The following is a 23,757-nucleotide window of genomic DNA, read 5'->3' on the forward strand; positions in this document are numbered from 1 at the left end:
AAATTGAGGAACATTTACAAAATAAACCTTGGCCGAGTGCAGTGGCTCACGCCTGTAATCCCAACACGTAAGGAGGCTGAGGCAAGAGGATCGCTTGAGCCCAGGAACTTGAGACCAGTTTGGGCAACATAGTGGGACCCTGTTTCTACAAAAATTTCAAATATTAGCCAGGCATGGTGGCATATGCCTGTGGTCTCAGCTACTAAAGAGGCTGAGGCAGGAGGATTGCCTGAGCCCAGGAGGTCTAGGCTGCAGTGAGCCACGAACACACCACTGCACTCCAGCCTGCACTCTGCACTGCAACAGAGTGATGACAGAGTGATACCCTGTCTCAAAACAAAACAAAACAAAGTAAAACAAACCTGTACTCTTAAAAAATCATGATTATGAAATAAAGACTGAAGAACTCTTCCAAATATAAGGACACTAAAGAGACATGACATCTGCAATGTGTGATCCTAGACTGAACTGTGGAGCAGAACAAGGAACTGAGTGGACAAATGAAGTCTGAATAGGCCTACAGATTAAAGAGTAGTATTTAATCAATACTAATTTATTGATTTTAATAACTGCACTCTGGTTATATAATATTCTAATTCCCAGGCGCGGTGGCTCATGCCTGTAATACCAGCAATATGGGAGGCTGAGGCAGGTGGATCACCTGAGGTCACAAGTTCAAGACCAGCCTGGCCAACATGGTGAAACCCCATCTCTACTAAAAATACAAAAATTAGCCAGGTTTGGTGGCATGCGCCTGTAATCCCAGCTACTCAACAGGCCGAGGCACAAGAATTGCTCAAACCCAGGAGGCAGAGGTTTCAGTGAGCCAAGATCGCGCCATGGCACTCCAGCCTGGGCGACAGAGTAAGACTGTTTCTCAGAAAAAAAAAAAAAAAAAAAAAAAAAAAAAAGACAATGTTCTTGTTCTTAGGAAATAAAGGTAAACATAGGTAAAGGGGCATTAGCTCTACAACTTACTCTCATACATTTCAGAGAGAGAATGAGTGAATGAATGAATGACAAAGCACATATGACAAATAGTAACACTTAGAAAATGTGGGTGAAGGTTATATGACTATTGTTTGTACTGTTTTTCAAAAGTCAAATTATTTTAAAATAAAAAGTTAAAAATTTAAGATACGGCAGGTGCAGTGGCTCAACACCTGTAATCCCAGCACTTTGGGAGGCCGAGGCGGGTGGATCACCTGAGGTCAGGAGTTTGAGACCAGCTTGGCCAACATGGTGAAACCCTGTCTCTACTAAAAATACAAAAATTAGCCAGGTATGGTGGCACACGCCTGTAGTTCCAGCTACTTGGGAGGCTGAGGCACAAGAATCACTTCAATCCGGGAGGCTGAGGTTGCAGTGAGCCGAGATCATGCCATTGCACTCCAGCCTGGGTGACAACAGCAAAACTCTGTCCAAAAACAAACAAACAAAAAGTGTGTGTGTGTGTGTGTGTATATATATATATGACAAAAGAAAGATTTTATCCATTTGTACTTTATACTAAAACATAGCATGAGGTATGGACCTGATTTTACTCTTAGAAAATATGTATCCAATTGTCCCATCTTTTCCTCTGTAATTTGATGTGCTATTTTTACAATATTCTAAATTTCTTTAATTAGTCTATTTCTGGACATTATATACTGTTCCATTAGTCAATACATCTGTCCATGCACCAGACCACACAGTTTAAAAAAAAAAGAGAGAGAGAGACTATTTTTTAGAGTAGTTTTAAGTTCACAGCAAAATTGGGCAGAAAGTAGAAAGTTCCTCATATACTTCCTGCCCCCACAGTTTTAATTATAAGGCTTTTTGGTTTAAAATCTGGGGGATTTCCCCTACTTATTGCTCTTAATTTTTCAGAGATTTCCTGATTGCTTATTCTTTCTTATTTTTCCATAAGACCTCTGGTATCCACTTGTCTAGCACCAGAAACAAAAAAATGTTTACTGGAATTAGAATTCATTTATACATTAATTGGGGGAGAACTGGCATCTTTGTAATGTTGAATTATTCTGTCTATGAACGTAAAGTATGAAATGTCTTTCCATTTGTTCAAGTCACATTTTGGGTCTTTTAAGAATGTTTTCCTCTTGTGAATGTGACATTTTTCTTGTTTTTTTTTCTAAGGTATTTTCTCTTTTTGATGTTACCAGATATGGATAGTTCTCTTCCACTCTATTTTCTTTTCTCTCTTTTTTTTTTTTGAGACGGAGTCTAGCACTGTCGCCCAGGCTGGAGTGCAGTGGCGCGATCTCCACTTACTGCAAGCTCCGCCTCCTGGGTTCACGCCATTCTCTTGACTCAGCCTCCCAAGTAGCTGGGACTACAGGCGCCCGCCACCACGCCCGGCTTTTTTTTTTTTTTTTTTTTTTTTTTTGTATTTTTAGTAGAGACAGGGTTTCACCGTGTTAGCCAGGATGGTCTTGATCTCCTGACCTCGTGATCCGCCCACCTCAGCCTCCCAAAGTGCTGGGATACAGGCATGAGCCACCACGCCCAGCCCTCTTCCACTATATTTTCAAACTAAATTATTGTATATATAAAAAGTATTGGGTTTTGTTGCTAATTTTTTTATTCTGCCGTTTTACTCAATTCTTTTTGTCTGGGTTTTCTGTTGTTATTCTCTTGGCTTTTCAACATACACTATCAGATAATCTGCACACAGAAATAGTTTTCCCTCTTCCAAAGTCTCATGCTCCTGATTATCTTCTCTTGAATGAATGTGGTAATTAATTCCGTCAATACAATGTTACCAAGTAATAGACATAGTAGGTATCATTATTCCTGGTTTTATAGTGGAATATTATCAAGTATTTTGTGTGTACATAAATTTTGTTTACGTTAGGTATCATAAATTTTGTTTACGTTGTTTACGTTATGTATCCCTATTTTATTGTTTATCAAGAATGGATGTGTTGGACTTTTCAAATTCCTTTTTGGTATATATGGAAATAATGATTTTTCTTACTAGATGCATTAAGATGGTGAATTATAATAATGAATCTCAGCCTAGCTTGTATATCTATCATTTTTTCCTCCAATCCTTTTACCTTTCCCTTTATCGTGATTTCAGGTTCTTGGCTTTTTCCATTTCTATCCTCTATGCCTTTACTGTATCTTCAATCACATCTGTTCACCTTTGGGCATCTTGTAGTTTAGTCTTCGTTTCTGATACTGTCTTATTTTCCATTTCTTTCCTGAGTTTGAACAGCTCTTATTTCAGATCTTCCTGCTCGCTGACTGTTTTTATTGAGTTTTAAAAACTTTTGACGTGGCCAGGCACGGTGACTCATGCCCGTAATCCCAGCACTTTGGGAGGCCAAGGCGGGTGGATCACTTGGGGTCAGGAGTTCAAGACCAGCCTGGCCAACATGGTGAAACCCTGTCTCTACTAAAAATACAAAAATTAGCTGGGTGTGGTGGCATGCGCTTATAATCCCAGCTACTCAGGAGGCTGAGGCACAAGAATTGCTTGAACCCGGGAAGCAGAGATTACAGTGAGCCGAGATCACACCACTGGACTCCAGCCTGGACGACAGAGCGAGACTCTATCTCAAAAAAAAAAACAAAAAACTTTTGACTTGCAGTTTCTTTTATTCAGCAGATATTTATTTATATTTATGTCTGGATACTGAATTAGTTCTCTTCTTTGTTGCCTTTTAATGTATTTTCATCTACTGAAAAGACTGATTCTCATTTTTGAATCAGAGAAATCTACATGGATGCTGTTTTAATTATTGTTCATGCTGAGTTACACTGATTTTCATGGACCATCCACAGCAAGAAACCCTCTGGGGCAAAAGGGCTTGCTTAATTTCTTATTTCTACCAGTGCCTTCTTCTGTTACTTCAATGAAGTACAGTTTATTTGCTAGATGGACAGTGCATTTATTTATCCTCTATCGCTTTGATACTCTTGGTTTCAGCTGTATCCTTCCAGCTATTTCCTTCTTTCTCTTTACTATTAAATATTAATACTTCATGGGACACTTTCAACTTCCAAGGTGCTACCTTCTCCCCTAGGAGTGGTGTTTTTTTTTAAGGCTGCCATCTCAAGTCATAAACACTTTTCCAAGTCCCTTTTCTTTTGCATTCTCAGTTGCTATGCTCTGATCCACCAGATTACAGACCTGTTTTCAGTATTTCCCACTCGGGATAGGGTTCTCATCTTCTGAGGATGAACAAAGAGCCTGTTATCCTCTGCAGAGTCCCTTACTCTTAGTTCTGATACAGTCACCAGAGTTCACCTAGCTATTCTTAGATGACTATTTCCCCACTCACATATAAACTGTGGTTTCAAAAATTCTCTATGTCCTAGCTATGCCATAGGCCCAGGTTATATAGTTGATTTTATTTGCTCTTACTAATCTGTATGGGTTTTAGAAGGATATGTGGAAAGGTCTGAATTGAGGAACTAAGTCAACTTCTCAAGTTATAAACTGAAGAAAAATATGCATCTCCTTTGTAGAGTTATTGTAAAGATCAAAAGATATAGACAGACCACTTAATTACTTAGCGCATTAAATGCATGAATAGTAAGGATAATTATTACCATTTCCTGGGGTCCTTCAATATTGTTCAGAAGGATTTAAAATATTATCTGCCAACACTCATTTTTCTAGAACTTCCACATGTGGCTATAGATAACATCATCTTATGATTAGTCTGTGTTCTAAAATTTTGGCTGCGTGTGGTGGCTCACACCTGTAATTCCTGCAGTTAGGGAGGCCAAGGCAGGAGGACCACCTGACGTCAGGAGTCAGCCTGGCCAACATGGTGAGACCCCATCTCTACTAAAAATACAAAAATTAGCCAGGTGTGGTGGCGTGTGCCTATAGTCCCAGCTACTTGGGAGGCTGAGGCAGGAGAATTGCTTGAACCCGGGAGGTGGGGGTTGCAGGGAGCTGAGATTGTGCCACTGCACTCTACCCTGGGCAACAGAGCGAGACTCTGTCTCAAAAAAATTAGTAAATAAATGAGTAAAATTTTGTTGTTAGAACCAGGAATACCTCACCTCCCTGGTTTCACGTTAAGGCTTTAGGCTCTAAACAGACTGCCTGGAAGTCACAGAAGGTTACTTGTTTATTATGTACATCAACATAGAAACTAGTTGGAGAGATAAATTGGCGTGCTAAAGAAATGACTCCCAAATCCAAGTCCATGACCCAGGCCACAGTAAAACAAGAAACATAAGCAAAAGGGAGAGAATTTTTCATAAACTGCAATAATTTAAAGGCACTGAAGTCTTCATTCAGATTATGTCTCATACTTTGATATTAGAATATCCTTTTATAAAATGATAGTGATAATAACGGGTACTTTCAAAAAATACATTATATATGATAAAATTAGTAAATTTATGTTGTTCTACTAAATTAAATTATTCGTATTGGGCCATAAACCCAAGAAATAAGGATACATCTGAAATAGTTATAAATACAAACAGCCAGTAAATCAGCCTTCTCTACGTGAAAGTTAGTAGGTATATCCGTCCCCTACCGTTTTATGATCTTTTTCCTCCAAACTGCTCTTGATAGGTACTGTTATACCAAATGTCACCTGTATAAAAATATAGGGCTGGGCACAGTGGCTGATGTCTTCAATCCCAGCACTCTGGGAGGCTGAGGTGGGAGGACTGCTTGAGCTTAGGAGTTGGAGACCAGCCCTGGCAACATAGCAAGACCTCGTCTCTATAAAAATTACAAAAATTGGCCGGCCATGGTGTTATGCGCCTGTAGTCCCAGCTACTCAGGAGGCTAAGGTGGAAGGATTGCTTGAGTCTGGGAGTTTGAGGATGCAGTGAGCTGTGGTCATGCCAAATGCACTCCAGCCTGGGCAACACAGTGAGACCCTGTCTCAAAACACATACACACACACACATACATGTTTTACATGTATGTTTTATATATTTATATATATATATGGGAGAGGTTTTGTCTTATTTGCATTACATGCCCCAAACACAAGATTTGACTAGTTATAACAAATATAATGAAAGGCCTGCAAATAGAGCTTATAAATTATTAAATATTTTAATGGACAAATGTATAATGGAAAGGGCAAAACTTACAGAGTTACACAGATGTGGATCTGAGCTTTGGTTTTATGTATCAATTGTATGGCCTCAAAAGAGATCTTTAACCTATGAGTCTTTGTTTTTAATCCACAAAATAATGCTAATAATCTCTCTCCAATAGAGTTAGAATTAAAAAAGACCTAACATAAGTGAACTGCCTCAGACTATATGTCAGACACACAACGGGCATACAATAAACAATAATAACAATAGCTATTATAATTAACATTTCCTCCTGACAATTCAAGACAGTTTCCTCACCTGCCTAATGAACAGGCTATCTGAAATCCAGAAGCAACTTTAAGATTATCAATAATACCGATTATCAATAATTGCAAGTTGTCTACTATATGAAAACATTCCAATTCTCCCTCTTCTACTAGCATGCGAATTGGCGGCTACACAATCAATTCACTCATTCAACAAATATCTATTGAGAACATATTATACCAGACCCTATTTTAGGTTCTGGAAATACAGCAGTGAATATACGACTGGAGAGAAACAAAAATAACTGTATGTCAAGTAATAATAGGCGCTATGAGGGGGGAAAAATGCAGGGTGAGGAGACTAAAAGACGAAGTACTTCTTTTACAGAGGGTAGTCAGGAATGCCTCTCTGATAGGTGACTACCTGAACAGCGATCTAGACGAAGTGAGAGCTAGCCATGCGGAAATCTGGGAGGAAAGCATTCCAGGCAGAAGGAACAGGAAGTTCAAGGGTCCTCAGGTGGCCTGACAGATGAAAAGAAAGGTGGCCTGTTGGCTGAAGCAGAATGAGCAAAGGAAGAAATTAGGTCAGAAGCAGTGGCAGGCCACAGCATCTAGAGCCTTATATATTTTCAACTTTGAATTTCATTTTAAGCAAAGTGGAAAGCCATCAGAGGGTGCTGAGCAGAGGAGTAATAATCATGACTTGTATTTTTTTAGCAGATTCATTAGCTCTTCGGGGGATAAGGGAAGAATATGCTGTAAGGGGAAAATATGAAAGTCTATTAAGAGGCTATGTATTGCATAAGGAAAAAATCAGTATAATCTCAAACCCAGCAACATACACTGTTAATATTTTGGTGTATTTGGTATTATTTCCTTCAGATGCTGAGGATATCCTTTTCATGCAATTAGTTTTAAAAGCTTCCCAGAAGACTTCACATTTAATAAGTTTGTGTTTGTTTTTATATGCTGTTGAATTAGTATGTCCATAAAAATTAATTCTTCCTATGATTCCAATGAGTGGTTCAAAGTTTACGATAGTAAAATGCATTGGGAAAGCCAAAATAGAGATGTTTTAAAACCAAATTTTTTTTAAATTTTATTTTAAAGACCTATGGATCTCTATTTAAGGGAATCTATTCTCCATAAAACTAGTCACCTTTATTCTTTATTATATCAGTCATTTAAGTGTAATGCCCATCTGTTCAAGTATATGTTCTACATATTTGAGCAGTATCTAAATGTGTTGCTTATATGCTTACAGGAATAGCGTCAGGTATTAATCTTAAAATCCCACATGGTGATGATGTGGAGGGCTCCCTCCCTTAGACAACACACCCTCCCACACCTCTGTCTATAGAAAATAGATTTCTTAAGCTAGAGATAAAATTAGAGGAAGAGTGGAAAGGAAATTATGTCAGAGAAGTAATGAAGTAATGAATACACAATGCCTTAAAGGCCATGGTAAGGCTTTTAGATATCTTGCTGAGCAAGAAAGGACGCCAGTCAAGATCTTGAGAATAGGAGTAACAAACTGGTATTAATTTGAAAAAGACCATTCTGACTGCTTCCTGGAGAATACATGGAATAAAGGTGGGGGTGGAGCACAGGAAGAGACAGGTTTACAAGGATACTACAATATAGGTGATAATGTGGCATTAACAACCCACCCTAAAACTTAAGTTACTTTAAACAACCAGAGACCGCCGAGGTGCGGGCTGTGAGAGAGGGAGCGTGGAGCCTCCGAGGCCGAGGACTCGTCCCAGTTTGGACAGATAGAAGATGTGAGCGCTCTCCCTCTCCCTCTCCCTCTCCGTCTCCCTCTCCCTCTCCCCACGGTCTCCCTCTCATGTGGAGCCGAAGCTGGACTGTACCGCTGCCATCTCGGCTCACTGCAACCTCCCTGCCTGATTCTCCTGCCTCAGCCTGCCGAGTGCCTGCGATTGCAGGCACGCGCCGCCACGCCTGACTGGTTTTGGTGGAGACGGGGTTTGGCTGTGTTGGCCGGGCCGGTCTCCAGCCCCTAACCGCGAGTGATCCGCCAGCCTTGGCCTCCCGAGGTGCCGGGATTGCAGAGGGAGTCTCGTTCACTCAGTGCTCAATGGTGCCCAGGCTGGAGTGCAGTGGCGTGGTCTCGGCTCACTACAACCTACACCTCCCAGCCGCCTGCCTTGGCCTCCCAGAGTGCCGAGATTGCAGCCTCTGCCCGGCCGCCACCCCGTCTGGGAAGTGAGGAGTGTCTCTGCCTGGCCGCCCATCGTCTGGGATGTGAGGAGCCCCTCTGCCTGGCTGCCCAGTCTGGAAAGTGAGGAGTGTCTCCGCCCAGCCGCCATCCCATCTAGGAAGTGAGGAGCGCCTCTTCCCAGCCGCCATCACATCTAGGAAGTGAGGAGCGTCTCTGCCCGGCCGCCCATCGTCTGAGATGTGGGGAGCGCCTCTGCCCCGCCGCCCCATCTGGGATGTGAGGAGCGCCTCTGCCCGGCCGAGACCCCGTCTGGGAGGTGAGGAGCGTCTCTGCCCGGCCGCCCCGTCTGAGAAGTGAGGAGACCCTCTGCCTGGCAACCACCCCGTCTGAAAAGTGAGGAGCCCCTCCGCCCGGCAGCCGCCCCGTCTGGGAGGTGAGGAGCCTCTCCGCCCGGCAGCCACCCCATCTGGGAGGTGAGGAGCGTCTCTGCCCGGCAGCCACCCCGTCCGGGAGGGAGGTGGGGGGGGTCAGCCCCCCGCCCGGCCAGCTGCCCCATCCGGGAGGTGAGGGGCGCCTCTGCCCGGCCGCCCCTACTGGGAAGTGAGGAGCCCCTCTGCCCGGCCAGCCGCCCCGTCCGGGAGGGAGGTGGGGGGGTCAGCCCCCCGCCCGGCCAGCCGCCCCGTCCGGGAGGGAGGTGGGGGGTCAGCCCCCCGCCCGGCCAGCCGCCCCGTCCGGGAGGGAGGTGGGGGGGTCAGCCCCCCGCCCGGCCAGCCGCCCCGTCCGGGAAGGAGGTGGGGGGGGTCAGCCCCGCCGCCCGGCCAGCCGCCCCGTCCGGGAGGTGAGGGGCACCTCTGCCCGGCCGCCCCTACTGGGAAGTGAGGAGCCCCTCTGCCCGGCCAGCCGCCCCGTCCGGGAGGGAGGTGGGGGGGTCAGCCCCCTGCCCGGCCGGCCGCCCCGTCCGGGAGGTGAGGGGCGCCTCTGCCCGGCTGCCCCTACTGGGAAGTGAGGAGCCCCTTTGCCCGGCCACCACCCCGTCTGGGAGGTGTGCCCAACAGCTCATTGAGAACGGGCCAGGATGACAATGGTGGCTTTGTGGAATAGAAAGGCGGGAAAGGTGGGGAAAAGATTGAGAAATCGGATGGTTGCCGTGTCTGTGTAGAAAGAAGTAGACATGGGAGACTTTTCATTTTGTTCTGCACTAAGAAAAATTCTTCTGCCTTGGGATCCTGTTGATCTGTGACCTTACCCCCAACCCTGTGCTCTCTGAAACATGTGCTGTGTCCACTCAGGGTTAAATGGATTAAGGGCGGTGCAAGATGTGCTTTGTTAAACAGATGCTTGAAGGCAGCATGCTTGTTAAGAGTCATCACCAATCCCTGATCTCAAGTAATCAGGGACACAAACACTGCGGAAGGCCGCAGGGTCCTCTGCCTAGGAAAACCAGAGACCTTTGTTCACTTGTTTATCTGCTGACCTTCCCTCCACTATTGTCCCATGACCCTGCCAAATCCCCCTCTGTGAGAAACACCCAAGAATTATCAATAAAAAAATAAATTAAAAAAAATAAATAAATAAAAATAAACAACCACTGTTCATTATTTCCTGCAATTGTGTGGGCCAGCAGTTTGGGCTATGATCAGCTGGAATGTTTCTCTACTAATAGCAGTCATCAGGCAGCTCGAATGGGGTGGGAGTCTAAAATCGCCTTGTTCACACATTAGGGGTTCTGGCTTCTCTTGGCTGGGCCTCTTCTCCATGTGGTCTCTCACTCAGCAGTCTAGTCTGGACTCCTTACATGATGACGGGAATGTCCCAAAAGAGCTAAGGCAGAAGATGTCTTGAGGCCTAAGTTCCAGAACTCACATATCTACCACATTCTACTGGCCAAAGCAAGTACAAGGCCAGCCCAGATTCAATGGGCGGTAAACAGACTATTTCTTGATGGAAGAAGGTACAAATTATTATTATTATTATACTTTTTTTTTTTTTTGGAGACAGAGTCTCACTCTGTGGCCCAGGCTGGAGAGCAGTGACATGATCTCAGCTCACTGCAACCTCTGCCTCCAGGGTTCAAGCGATTCTCCTGCCTCAGCCTCCTGAGTACCTGGGATTACAGGTGTGTGCTAATTTTTGTATTTTTAGTAGAGATGGGGTTTTGCCACGTTGATGAAGCTGGTCTCGAACTCCTGACCTCAGGTGATCTGCCCACCTCGGCCTCCCAAAATGCTGGGATTACAGGCGTGAGCCACTGCACCCAGATGGTGCAAATTATTATAGTCATGTTTTTCAATCTATTACACTAAGCAGTGATCATGGTGGTTTAAAGGAGTGTAACAGTTGCAGTAGTAGTGGTGAGAAGCAGCTGGATTTTAGACATTTAATGACAGAACAAGCTGATTATCCAGATGGAGAATGACTTTTCAACCCAAGAAGTAGAAGGATACAGCTGTCATTTACTGAGCTATTAGGAGCAGCAGGTTCAAGGGAGAAAAAAAAAGAAAATCAAGAGTTTTGTCTACAATGCCTATTAGATCTCCAAGCAGAGATGTCAAGTAAACAGATTAGAGTCCGGAATTCAGCATACTACTACTTCTCTGCCGGAAAGGGAGCGGGCAGAGAAGCAGCCAGGCTTTTACTTGCATGACTAGGGCATAAGGTTCTTCTGAACAGTCTGACTTGGTTTCTAGGTTGTCCAGCATCTTTCTCTTCCACATTTCTTGTCTTTCAAGAAAGCAGGGAAGCCCCAGAGAAGGTTGAGTTTATGTGGGGAAATAAAACAGATCTTTTTTTTCATTTGATTTTAGGTGGGTTTTTAAATATATATATTTACAGAGCTCTCTCAGACCAGTATGCTATCTGGTAACACAGAAAATAATACCAGGACAGATTAACTCACTAGTAGTCATGAGAAAAAAAACTTTTTCTTCAAAAATAACAAAAAGTAAAAGAGAAGGCTAAGGTAACTGCAGAATTCAAATAAACAGGTCTTCTGGCCACTGTATCTTTCAAAGGCAAGTTATCTAGAAAATTACTACACTCTCGCATCTGAAAATAGATGCGAAATGATAAAATTAATAAAAAGGTGGTTTTTTTTTTTTTTGGAGACAGGGTCTCACTCTGTAACTCAGGCTGGAGTGCAGTGGTGTGATCATAGCTCACTGCAGCCTCGAAATCCTGGGCTCAAGTAATCCTCCTGCTTCAGCCTCCCAAGTAGCTGGGACTACAGGTGGGTACCACCATGCCTGGCTAATTTTTTATTTTATTTTTGTAAAGGGTATTGCTATGTTGCCCAAACTGCCCTTGAATTCCTGGCTTCAAGCAATCCTCCCACTTGGGCTTCCCAAAGTACTGAAATTATAGGCATGAATCACCATGCCTGGCCAAAAGTTTTTTGTTTTTAATTCTAATTCACATTTAACTTTTCCTATAAGTATGCCAACCACTGAGGATAAGATTTAGGGAAATAGGTTTTTTAAACCATGTCGGCATAATTTCAAAGAATCACTGTTTCATAACCCAAAACAAAGACTGTATGTAGGACCAATAAGCCATTTCACGTAGCCTTTACCACTAAAGATTGTGAAATACATGTTTTGTAACTATAATTAGTATTATTATTCTAGATGTTTGTGTGTCCTAACATTCAAACACGATTCAAGTGAGTTTACAAGAGTATGATTCAATTCAATTCAAGTTATATTAATTTAAAGTCTACTAGCACTAGGCTCTAATGGATACAAGAACAAACAGGACCCAATTATACTATAAGTCTTGTAAGCAGGATTATTCAGGTACATAAATAAATATAAGAAAGTGCATACTTTTAATTTATATTCTAATTCAATGTACAAATGATGTGAGGAGGCTTACTAGAAATATATTCCTAAATAAAACTGTGAATATGTTTTGAAAACAGAAAAATACAAATTAGGATGTGAAGTGAAGAGTAGGGGAGAAATACTGATACATAATACACAGATGAACCTCAAAAACATTATGCTATGCAAAATACACCTGACAAAAAAGACCACTTATTGGCCGGGCACGGTGGCTCAAACCTGAAACCCCAGCACTTTGGGAGGCTGAGGCAGGTGGATCACCTGAGGTCAGGAGTTCAAGACTAGCCTGGCCAACATGGTGAAACCCTGTCTCTACTAAAAATACAAAAAAAAATTAGCAGGGCATGGCGGCACACACCTGTAGTCCCAACTACTTGAGAGGCTGAGGCAGGAGAATCGTTTGAACTCAGGAGGCGGAGGTTGCAATGAGCCGAGATCACACTATTGCACTCCACCCTGGGCAACAAGAGTGAAGTTCCATCTCCAAAAAAAAAACAAAAAAACACTTATTGTATGATTCCATTTATTTTTTTCCCTTTTTAAATTTTTCTTGGTTTTTATGCTAATCTTCTCTGTACTCTTCCAATTTTAGTATATGTGTTGCAAGCATGTATTATTCCAGTTATATGGGATGTTCAGAAAAGGCATTTGGAGACAACATGGATTAGTGGTTGCCTTGGGCTGGGGGTGGGAAGAAGGATTAACTGTAAATGGGCATGAGGGATCTTAATGTGCGACAGAAATTTTCAAAAAACGGATTGTTGTGATGACTGCAAAACTTGGCAAATTTACTAAAAATAACTGCATTGTACATCTTAAATTAGTGAATTTTATGACATGCAAACTATGTCTCGATCAAGTTGTCTTTAAAAACTAAAGGCAAAATTAAAACTTTTACAAACATACAAAAACTGAAATGATTCAGTCCAGCTGACTTGCACTACAATAAACGTTAAAAGAGGCCCTTCAGGCAGAAGGAAATGACACTAGATGGATTTACAAAAAGGAATGAAGAGAACTAGAAATGGTAACTATAGGAATAAATACATATATTTTGGGTTTTTTAAACCTAAATCTTTAAAAACTATTAATATAATCAACTGTTTAAACATAGTAGCAATACAGTGTGAGGTTTACAACATATAAAATGCACCATAATAGCATAAAGGCCAAGATGGAAGAGATAGAAGTATACTTTTATAAGGTATTATATATGAAACAGTACGTAACTTGAAGGTAGACTGTGATAACTCAAAGACACATGTTATAAGCCCTAAAGCAATCAATAAAGTAACAAAAAGAATTACTAGTAATATGCCAATAAGGAGATAGAATCATTTTTAAAAATCAAAATTAAAAAAATTGTAAAGATCAATTAATTCAAAAGAAGGTCAAAGAAGGAGAAAATGGAACAAAGAAGAGGACAGACAATAAAACAAAAGAGCAAATGATAGACTTAAGCCTATATCAATAATCACATTAAATGTAGATGGTCAAAACCCCCTATTAAAAGGCAGAGATTTTCAGGTTGGATTTTAAAAGACCCAAATATATGCTCTTTACGAGAATTACAATTTAAATATAAGACACATACACATTAAAAGGACAGAGAAAGATACATCATGCTCACAATAATTAAAAGAAAGATTAGTGCCCATGTTAATATCTGCCAAAGCAGATTTCAGAGTAAACAATATCACCAGGGGTAATAAAGTCACTTCATAATGTTAAGTGAGCCAACTGGTCAATAGGATATTGCAATCCTAAATGTTTTATGCACCTAATTACACAGATGTAAAATACGAGGCAAAAACTGATAGAACTACAAGGAGAAATAAATCACAATTATAGTTATACCTCTCTTAATAACTGAGAGAACAAACAGGAAAGCAAGAAAATAGAGGACTTGAATAACACTACCAACTTGCCTTAACTGACATTTATGGAGCATTATGACATAACAGAATACTCCACCCAGCAACAAACAGCACAATACATTGCTGAGTACAGACATATTTTTCGTAAGCACACATGGAACACAGCTCAGACAGACCACATTCTGGGCTATAAAACAAGCCTGAATACATTTTAAAGGATTTAAGTCATACAAAGTATGTTCTCTGACCACAAGGAAATTTGAAATCAATAACAGAAAGATATCTGGAAAACCCCCAAATAAATGGAAACTAAATCCATGGGGTCAAAGATCAAACCAAAAGTGAAATTAGAAAATAATTTGAATTTTGAAGGGTGGAAGCTGCAGTGAGCCGAGATTGCGCCATTGCACTCCAGCCTGGGCAACAGAGCAAAACTGTCTTAAAACAAAACAAAATAAAAGGATTTGTTTGTTCTTTGGGAAAGGGTCTTGCTCTGTAACCCAGGCTGGAGTGCAATGGCACAATCATGGCTCAACGCAGCCTTGAACTCCTGGGCTCATGGTATTCTCCCGTCTCAGCCTCCTGAGTAGGCTGGACTTCAGACACAAGCCACCATGCCCATCTAATTTTTTGTATTTTTTGTAGAGATGGAGTTTTGGCAGGCATGGTGGCTCACACCCGTAATCCCAGCACTTTGGGAGGCCGAGGTGGGTGGATCGCTTGAGGTCAGGAGTTGAAGACCACCCTGGCCAACATGGCAAAACCCCATCTCTACTAAAAATACAAAAATTAGCCGGGCGTGGTGGCACATGCCTATAATCCCAGCTACTCAAGAGGCTGAGGCAGGAGAATTGCTTGAACCCAGGAGGAGGAGGTTGCAGTGAGCCAAGATCGCCACATTGCACTGAAGCTTGGGCAACAAAATGAGACTCCATCTCAAAACAAAAACAAAAACAAAAACAAACAAACAAAAAGATGAGGTTTCATCAAGCCTCCCAAAGTGCTGGTAGTACAGAGGTGAGCCACTGTGCCCAGCCCAAGAAAATAATTTGAATTGAATGACAACCACAACACAACATATCAAAATTGATAGAATAAAACTAAAGCAGTATTTGGAGGTAAATTTATAGGACTACCTACCTAAGAAAGGGCTCAAATCAATGACCTTGGTTTCCACATTAATCTAGAAAAAGAGCATATTAAACCCAAAGTAAAAGAAAGGAAATAGTAAAGATCAGACAGGAAAACAACAAAACAGAAAAGAGAAAAATCAATGAAATAGAAAACTGGTTCTTTCAATATCAATAAAATACTTCAGAATCAACAGTGTCAAGCTAGCATGTACAATGATAGTGCTTAAGTTATTTATCTTAATCTGCCTCTAAATTTGAAGAAGTTATGCAGGAGACACAAGTAAATATTTAATACAGACTCAAAGGTTAGAGTCCACTCCACAAATTTGTCTGAAAAAAATATAAAAGGTATACCTGTCCTTGAACAAACAACATAGCTCTTTTGTTTGTTTGTTTGTTGGTTTGTTGGTTCGTTTTTGAGACAGAGTCTCGCTCTGTCGCCCAGGCTGGAGTGCAGGGGTGCAATCTCTGCTCACTGCAAGCTCCGCCTCCCAGGTTCATGCCATTCTCCTGCCTCAGCCTCCCGAGTAGCTGGGACTACAGGCACCCGCCACCACACTCGGCTAATTTTTTGTATTTTTAGAGAGATGGGGTTTCACCGTGTTAGCCAGGATGGTTTCGATCTCCTGACCTCGTGATCCGCCTGCCTTGGCCTCCCAAAGCGCTGGGATTACAGGTGTGAGCCACCACGCCTGGCCAACATAGCTCTTTTGAGCAATAGTTTCATCAGAAGTAAAGGGACTGAATGAGATTATCTTTAAAATCTCTTTAAGTTCTAAGATTCTCTACATGCCAAAGAAGAGGTACACATCCACTAACAAGATGACCTGAACAACAAGATATTCTGATAAAACCTTGGGAACCAGAATTAGCACTTGCCTCAAAAATAACCACCTTGACCAAAGAGAAGAAGTTATTCAATCCATTCGTACTTTAAATATCAACCCTGGGGAAAAAAAATCATACGAGAATTTCAGTCTAATTTAAAATCAAGGACCAATATTACTAATTACTTAATCTTCGCTTCTCAGCTTATCACTCCTGTGAGATGGCCGTTTTACATGCATTACCCTCTTCCTCAATTTTGTCCTCAGTATTACTCCCAGTGAAGTGGTGTGTGTGTGTGTGTGTGTGTGTGTGTGTGTGTGTGTGTCTAATTACACAATTAGCAAGTTACAGAGGGTAAGATGGAATGAGGGCCTCTTGGTAATCAACAATTTGTTCAACTTACAGCCAACTGTGGGCCAGGTATTTTTATTGTCTGAGATATTTAGGAATCTTCTGCAGCTGCCTTTTAGGAGAAAAGTACTTTATATAAATATATCATATACAGGACTGAAATCTGCCCTGAGTGTCCAGATCTGGACACCAAATAGATTAGTCATTAATTGTATAGTGGTTAACAGCATGGGCTTTGGAGCCAAACCCCTTGAATTCCAATTCTTACCATGCTACTTACTGGCTCTATAACCGTGGACAAATTACTTAACCTTATGGGGATCATTATTAAGATTAAATGAATTAATACATACATGTAAAGATATAATTATGATCTTCTCCTCCTAGTTTGATAAAGAATACCAGAATCTAAGAATATCCTATAGGCCGGGCACAATGCCTCATGCCTGTAATCCCAGCACTTTGGGAGGCCAAGGTGGGTGGATTGCCTGAGGTCAGGAGTTTGAGACCAGCCTGACCAACAAGGTGAAACCCCCGTCTCTACTAAAAATACAAAAAAAATTAGCTGGGCATGGTGGCGGGCACCTGTAATCCCAGCTACTTGGGAGGCTGAGGCAGGAGAGTCACTTGAACCCAGGAGGCAGAGGTTGCAGTGAGCCAAGATCGCATCATTGCACTCCAGCCTGGGCAACAAGAGTGAAACTCTGGCTCAAAAAATACATATATAAATAAAAAGAATATCCTATAAAAGTATTAAAACAGCACTTTTAAGTAAAACTCACACTTCCCTCCATTTAAGTCCTCCTATAAAGTAATATATCTATACATATTTCAGTGGGAGGGTCAGTACTTATGAAAACAAATACATACAAGTAGTTTAAAGGATAGTTTTAATATGAGTAAATGCACTTTTATGCTCAACTATTTTATACTCCAGTGACACTGCAGACCTCCCAAATTCTCTCTAGTTAAAATGAGATAACTCAGAAGTTAATACAGCCTCTACATAAGACCTTTCACCACCAAATATTTTAAGATTCTGCCAAGCATCAGGCCATAGTTATAGAATGTTTTAACTTAATGAAATTGTAGGGTATAATCTCTACAGAATGGGCCTCAAGCCTAACTAAGTGATCTCCAAAAATATGCCAACCCCTTTATCCCCCCACACCATTATGGACCAAACAATTACAGTTCCATTGACCCTCATAGCTTACTGAAGTTATATGAAAGAACGGAAAGATGTGGGTCACATTCCAATAATCAATTGTGTGACCTAACCAAAAGGACCTATTCGCTCAGTCTCACGTCCTCCACCTGTAGAGATACCTATGCTGTGACATACTGAAAGAATTAAAGGAGAGGGTGAATGAAATGTCCCCTCTATGCCCACTAGCACATGGCACTTCTCAATTCATGTTCATTTCTCCTTCTTTATTTGAAGTGGTGAAAGAAATCAGAAGCAATTTAAGACTTTTCACAGCACTGTTTGATCTCATTTCTTAATATTTTTGACAAAAACCATCTACAGGTTAAGCTGTGGAATCTCAACATAAATGCACATTTTTAGTGTTCCTTCAGCTTTACTTCAAAACCACTACGGGAATTAAAATACGGTAGGAATAATCTTCTGACAGAATAGGAATGACATAACTTTTAGAATAAATGCCCACTTCAGAGTAAATAAGAAGATAAAGGAGGTATCATCATAAGTTGATGAGAATCCTATGATCACTACCACTTTCTGGAAGTAGCTCCCAGAAATATTAAAATCTAGTAATTTTAATTGACTCAAACATCATTTTTAGTAAACATTCTGGTATCCAAAAGCATGAGACTAAACAATGATATTGAAAAGATTAATATTATTTGGAAATGTATTCCACAACTAATTTATTCTGGGCCTACCTGCAGGGATAGTCGTCCCAAAATTAAACGTTCTATAGGTACAAAGTAATTTTAAAACTGGATGTTTTAATTTCAAAACTTATAAATTTTCTGAGCCAAAGCATTCTCTTCCATGTATAGAACTAGGGTTTTAACCAAATACTTGGTTGAAAGCTGTACAAATCCAAACATAATTGAAGTCTTGATTCTGCCACTTTCAAGAGTGGGTGGTACAGATTCTTCTCATTCATAACATTAGTTTCTAGCTGATGTGGTTCGTTATTCAAAGAACACTTAACAGTCCTTCATAAAATGGTAGATTCAGTCTAAGGACTAAGAGTAGAACATTCTGGAATAACAATAACGTTTACAAACACCACTTACCATTTGGTCCTAGGTTTTCATAAAAAATTGATATAGGCAGCAGATGTATACAGAACACCCTAGTTGAGGCCAGTTTAAGTGTAAAATACCCACATACTCAAAGCCTAAGAACAATTTACTTAAGACAAAACAATGTTGGAGAAATTGCCCAATATCACAAATGTAGCAGTCACCCCTAAACAGTGTTTTTGATTAATGACAACCAATTTCCTTCAATCTTAAAGGCAACCAATTCAAGCCAGTAGGTTAAATCCTTGAAGTATACTGCAATGCTACTCCTTTTTTCCAGGGAATCAGATGAGAATTTTGTGCTAAGAACTTATCAGGAAAATGGAAGTAACGAAAATTAACACGCCAAAATATGAGTATAAGAAATATAAGCCTCCTTAATAATCAGCCAAGAAAAAAATAATCAGGTTATGTCTCCTCCCACCCATTCTTTCTGTCTTAACCTTCTGCAAAAGCCGGCTGGATTCAGAGTAGAAATAAACGAATTTTACAATGAGTCGAGTACCACCAAAAATCAAAAGTGGGAGCTTACTCGTCCTCCAGGTCTGACCCGCCTCCAGCCCGAGGCCACCAAAAGACACACCTCCCTTCCCCCAACCCGCCACAGCCGGCTCTACAGGTAACAGGCGTTTCTTCTCGCGCAGTTTGAACAAAAACAATCCAGAAGGAACAGATTTGGTTTTTTAAAAAAAATGAACAAAAGCCAAAAAAGCCACAAACACAACCTAAACCTTCTAAGAAGCTCGACTACTCCCGTTCTGCACGTTCCTTCCCAGAAGGATGCAGACCCCCGGTGTCGGCGGGAACCAGGAAGCTCTTGGGGCCTCCCTGGGCCAGACCTGCACCCGGGAAGCCGCCGCAAGGCTTCAGGAGCCCCAGGTCGCCCCAAGGCCGCGCCGCAGGATTGAACAAAGCGGCGGGTGCAGCAACCTCGGCGCTTCCGAGCGCGTTCGGGGCCGGACGCCCGGCGTCCGGCGCTGGCTCCAGAAAGGCGGCGGGTGTGGGGCGCAGAGGCCTATCTCGCGCCCTAGCCGCGGCCCGCGCCCCGCCGCAGTCCCCGGGGACGGTACTCACACACGCAGAGCTCCACCACGTACGCGTAGTAGGACCAGACGACCACGAAGGTGATGAAGAGCACCGGCACCCAGCCCACGACGCGCTGGCAGCAGCGCCACAGCGTCCAGGGCGCCATGTTCCGCTGGCGGCTGCCGAGCCCCGCGTCCCACCGTTCTGGGGAGCGCGGGAGCCCCGGCGACGGTGACTCGGACGCTCCAGGCGGCTGCTGGTCCAGCTCCCCCGCCTCCGAGGCAGGACTTGTGGGAGCAAAAGTCCGAGGCGCCGCCGGGACTCCTCCCGTCCCGGCGCCCAGCCAGGCCCCGCCCCCACCCCACATCCCGTCGCCCCCCTCCCCCCGCGTCCGTCCCCGCCAGCCCGCCCGCCGCGGGCCGCGGGCCGCCCCCGGTCTCCGCGTCGTTGGGGCGGGGTTTCCGCGGCCGGGGAGGCGGTGAGGGGGCGGGGCCGCAGCTCGGGACCGCCCATGGGGCGTGGCGGGGCTGGATGCGGACAGGCTGGGCGGACGCGGGAGGCCGGGGAAGGAGAGGCGAAAAACACGCCCTTGATGGATGAGAGGGACAGGGGATAGCTTTTGTGGATCGAGACTCAATAGGGGAGGGAGACTATGGAAATGATTCCTTAGCTGATTTGTGGATCTTGGCCCTCTCTGTGTACAGAACTCGCTCCACTGGGGTTCCTGGGACATTGAGTAGTTGGGGCACTGTTTCAAACATGACAAGGCCATTCCCCACTCAGTGTGCGAAGAATGCACATTGTTAGAAGGCTCCTCCTGTGATTTTTATGTTCGTCCATCTTGGCGGAACCCCTCCCTTTCTTGAAGATGGAACGGTAGATACCTGTAATTTCGGGTAGAAGCCATGTAGGGTCCATCAGTTTGATTCGTAACCCAAATTTAAGATTGAGTAGCGAGAAGGAAAGGGCATGTAAATGACCCTCTCCTTGCCCCGCAAACGACTAAGGAAATTTAAAGAATTTATTTACAACTAGAGGTTGCTAAGCAATGACGATAATCATATAGAACCCAGAAGCATCACTGTGAAGACTTCACAATGCAAGGTCAGACGCATTAGAAGGGATTCCAGACCGCAATCTTCATACCAGTTCCTGCTACTAGCATTCAGTTTTGGTTAGAATGAATTTTTGTGTTTGTTTTTTGAAACAGGGTCTTCTCGCTCTGTCGCCCAAGCTGGAGTGCAGTGGCACGACCTGGGCTCATTTAAGCCTCGACCTCCCTGCTAAAGCACTCCTCCTGCTTCAGCCTGCAGAGTAGCAGGGACTACAGGCCCGCCACCATGCCCAGCTGATGTTTGTATTTTCTGTAAAAACTAGGTTTCGCCCTGTTGCCATGCTGGCCCTGAACTCCAAGGCTCAAGGAATCCCAACCCCTCTCCGCCTCCACCTCCCAAAGAAGTGCTGAGATTACAGGTGTGAGCCACCACGACCGGCCTACACTGAGCTTTAAATTAGCTACTGCTCACTAAAGTCTCCATGAAGAAGACGTCACCCTTTGCTGTGTCAGAGAAATGTAGTAAAAGCGAGTAAGTATTTAATCACTGCACACTGCTGCTTGAGTAATAAAGCATGTATAAAAGATTCTGTTCTCCCTGATTTTGTGCCTTAAAAGTCATATTAGTTAGTGGCCTAGTTGACAGTAGGTTTAGGTTCAAGTTCAACTAGTTTTCCAGAGAGGCTGCTTAGGAGGGTTAGACCTCAACATAGAATTCGGATGGACATGGAAGAACATAAAGCCGTTTCTCCTCTATGTCATCTCTACGTACCAAAACCATGCTGCTAGAGCTCAGCACAAAGCCATGTCCTTTACAAGCTCCAGGGCTGCTAGAAATGATCTTTCACGACATTTTGTTTATAACCTAACTATAAAACTGTCACATTCGTTTCCTAGGGTGACTATAACAAAGTACCACAAAACTGGGGAATAATAGAAATTGGTTGTCTCACAGTTTAGGAGGGTAGGTGTCCCAAATCAAAGTGTTGGCAAGGATATTGGATATGGTTTGGATGTTTGTCCCCTCCAAATCCCATGTTGAAATGTGATCCCAGTGTTGGAGGTGGGACCTGGTGGGAGGTATTGGATCATTAGGGTGGATCCCTCATGAATGGTTTAGTGCCATCCCCTTGGATGAGGGGTTCTTTCTCTAGTAGTTCACATGAGATCTGGTTATTTAAAAGAGCCTGATCCTTCCCCCACTCTCTCTCTTGCCCCCTCTCTTGCCATGTGACATGCTGGCTCCCCTTTGCCTTCTGCCGAGAAGGCAGAAGTCTATCTCTGTGGTCCTGTGTCTTCAGAGATAAGGATGTTCCTTTGTCTGGGTAGAGGGAGGGCACCTCTTGAATAACAGTCTTAGGTCTGCCTTCAGGGGAAGGCCTGAGACGCTTTTGCTAGTGCTATGGCCTGCTTCAGGGGAGAAGAGCGAGAGGAAGGTGAGAGGGACCTTCCTGTTGCTGTTGTCTCCAATGTTGTCTCCAACTGATGATTGGAAGCTTCTTGAGGCCTCACCAGAAGCATATGCTGACCCCATACTTTCTGTACAGCCTGGAGAGCTGTGGGCCAATTAATCCACTTTTCTTTATAAATTACCCAGTCTCAGGTATTCCTTTATATCAGTGCAAGAATGACCTAACACAGCCATGTGCCCTCTGAAACTTGTAGGGGAGAATTCTTCTTTGCTTCTTCCTAGCCTTTGGTGGTGACCATTAGTCCATGGCATCCCTTGACCTGCAGTGGCAGTGGCATCACCCCAATATCTACCGCTATCCTCAGGTGGCATTCTCCTTTCCTGTCTCTCCCCTTATATTGGGTTAAGGGCCTACCCTACTCTAGTATGGCCTCATCTTAACTAATTACATCTACAACAGGCCCACTTCCAAATAAGGCCACATTCTTTTTTTTTTTTTTTTCAGTAGAGTCTTGCTCTGTCACCCAGGTTGGAGTGCGGTCACGTGATCTTGGCTCACTGCAACCTCCACCTCCCAGCTTCAAGTGATTCTCATGCCTCAGCCTCCCGAGTAGCTGGGATTACAGGCGTGCACCACCACGTGAGGCCTGCATTTTGTATTTTTGCTAGAGATGGGGTTTCCCCATGTTGGCCAGGCTGGTCTCAAACTTTTGGAGTCAAGTGATTTGCCTGCCTCGGCCTTCCAAAGTGCTGGGATTACAGGCCTAAGCCACCTCGCTCAGCCAATAGTTTTGATACTCATTGAAATATGTGATCTTGCCTACTACCTTGTAAGGTTCTAGAAGGTAGAAAGTATTTCTTGCACATCCACAGTGACTTGCAGTAGGAAATATTTAGTAAGAAATTGTTGAACAAATATTTAAAGTTTTCTATTGTTATCCAGTTACTCCTCCTAACTTCTGGCGTTGCCAACCAGATTACATTAGCTTGTGATTTCTTTTTTTTCTTTTTCTTTTTTTTTTTTTTGAGACAGAGTCTTGCTGTGTTGCCAGGCTGGAGTGCAGTGGTGCAATCTCAGCTCCCTGCAACCTCCGACTCCCTGGTTCAAGCGATTCTCCTGCCTCAGCCTCCCCAGTAGCTGGGATTACAGGCACACACAACCACGCCCAGCTAATTTTTTGTATTTTTTGTGAGCCACCGTGCCCGACCAGTTTCTGATTTCTAAATGACTGCCACATATTCTAAGGTGATTTATGTGGGATCTAGAGAATATTTCTGATCTATGTCCTTGTACAATGAGGACAGACACATTTTTGAGGAGGCAATATTTTTATTATTTTGGACTCTTTCTGTCGTAAATGGTTACAGACATGAATTAATGTTCTTTGCTTGTGAGCAATAGAAGCCAGTATCTTAAACCCCTTCCTTCCATTTCCATGTTGGGCTTGTGATTTCACTCCATCTTTGCTACTGG

General features: G+C 43.1%; 1 protein-coding gene and 1 long non-coding RNA gene across 14 annotated transcripts in view, besides 4 other annotated features; one reads left to right on the top strand and one right to left on the bottom strand.

The window, feature by feature from the left end:
* ZDHHC20 (zDHHC palmitoyltransferase 20) overlaps positions 1 to 20,116 on the bottom strand; it is an 86,733-nt gene extending 66,617 nt beyond the window's left edge. For 9 of the 13 annotated variants that reach the window (NR_104487.2, NR_104486.2, XR_007063672.1 and 6 more), the window contains exon 1: positions 19,867 to 20,116. Coding sequence is in view for 5 of the 13 variants with exons in the window: in NM_153251.4 (NP_694983.2) it covers positions 19,867 to 19,984 (118 nt within the window). In the remaining 8 variants the exon portion in view is untranslated. Of the gene's footprint in view, positions 1 to 15,340; positions 15,384 to 19,866 lie in introns of all 13 variants that reach the window. The other 4 variants (XM_047430246.1, XM_047430245.1, XM_047430244.1 and 1 more) reach the window with 1 other exon arrangement.
* Positions 20,029 to 20,408: a silencer, noted in NCBI's record as "silent region_5161". NCBI's record gives its function as "represses an Ori minimal core promoter by ATAC-STARR-seq in GM12878 lymphoblastoid cells {active_cell/tissue: GM12878}" and the evidence as "EXISTENCE:reporter gene assay evidence [ECO:0000049][PMID:35858748]".
* Positions 20,029 to 20,441: a biological region, named in NCBI's record as "ATAC-STARR-seq lymphoblastoid silent region 5161".
* Positions 20,272 to 20,441: an enhancer, noted in NCBI's record as "experimental_32537 CRE fragment used in MPRA reporter constructs". NCBI's record gives its function as "activates a minimal promoter by MPRAs in K562 erythroleukemia cells, with activity observed for both the introgressed and non-introgressed 13:22033683 or rs80289919 variant alleles {active_cell/tissue: K562}" and the evidence as "EXISTENCE:reporter gene assay evidence [ECO:0000049][PMID:34662402]".
* Position 20,357: a transcriptional cis regulatory region, noted in NCBI's record as "Neanderthal adaptively introgressed variant 13:22033683 (GRCh37/hg19 assembly coordinates) or rs80289919 in the experimental_32537 CRE". NCBI's record gives its function as "modulates activity of the experimental_32537 enhancer by MPRAs in K562 erythroleukemia cells {active_cell/tissue: K562}" and the evidence as "EXISTENCE:reporter gene assay evidence [ECO:0000049][PMID:34662402]".
* Positions 20,360 to 21,459, top strand: LOC124903131 (uncharacterized). The gene is made up of 2 exons (XR_007063713.1): positions 20,360 to 20,992; positions 21,196 to 21,459. It is a non-coding gene; the product is annotated as an uncharacterized LOC124903131 (long non-coding RNA).
* Positions 21,460 to 23,757: the final 2,298 nt, after the last annotated feature.

The sequence above is a fragment of the Homo sapiens genome, chromosome 13, assembly GCF_000001405.40.
Source record: "Homo sapiens chromosome 13, GRCh38.p14 Primary Assembly".
Classification (NCBI taxonomy): domain Eukaryota; kingdom Metazoa; phylum Chordata; class Mammalia; order Primates; family Hominidae; genus Homo; species Homo sapiens.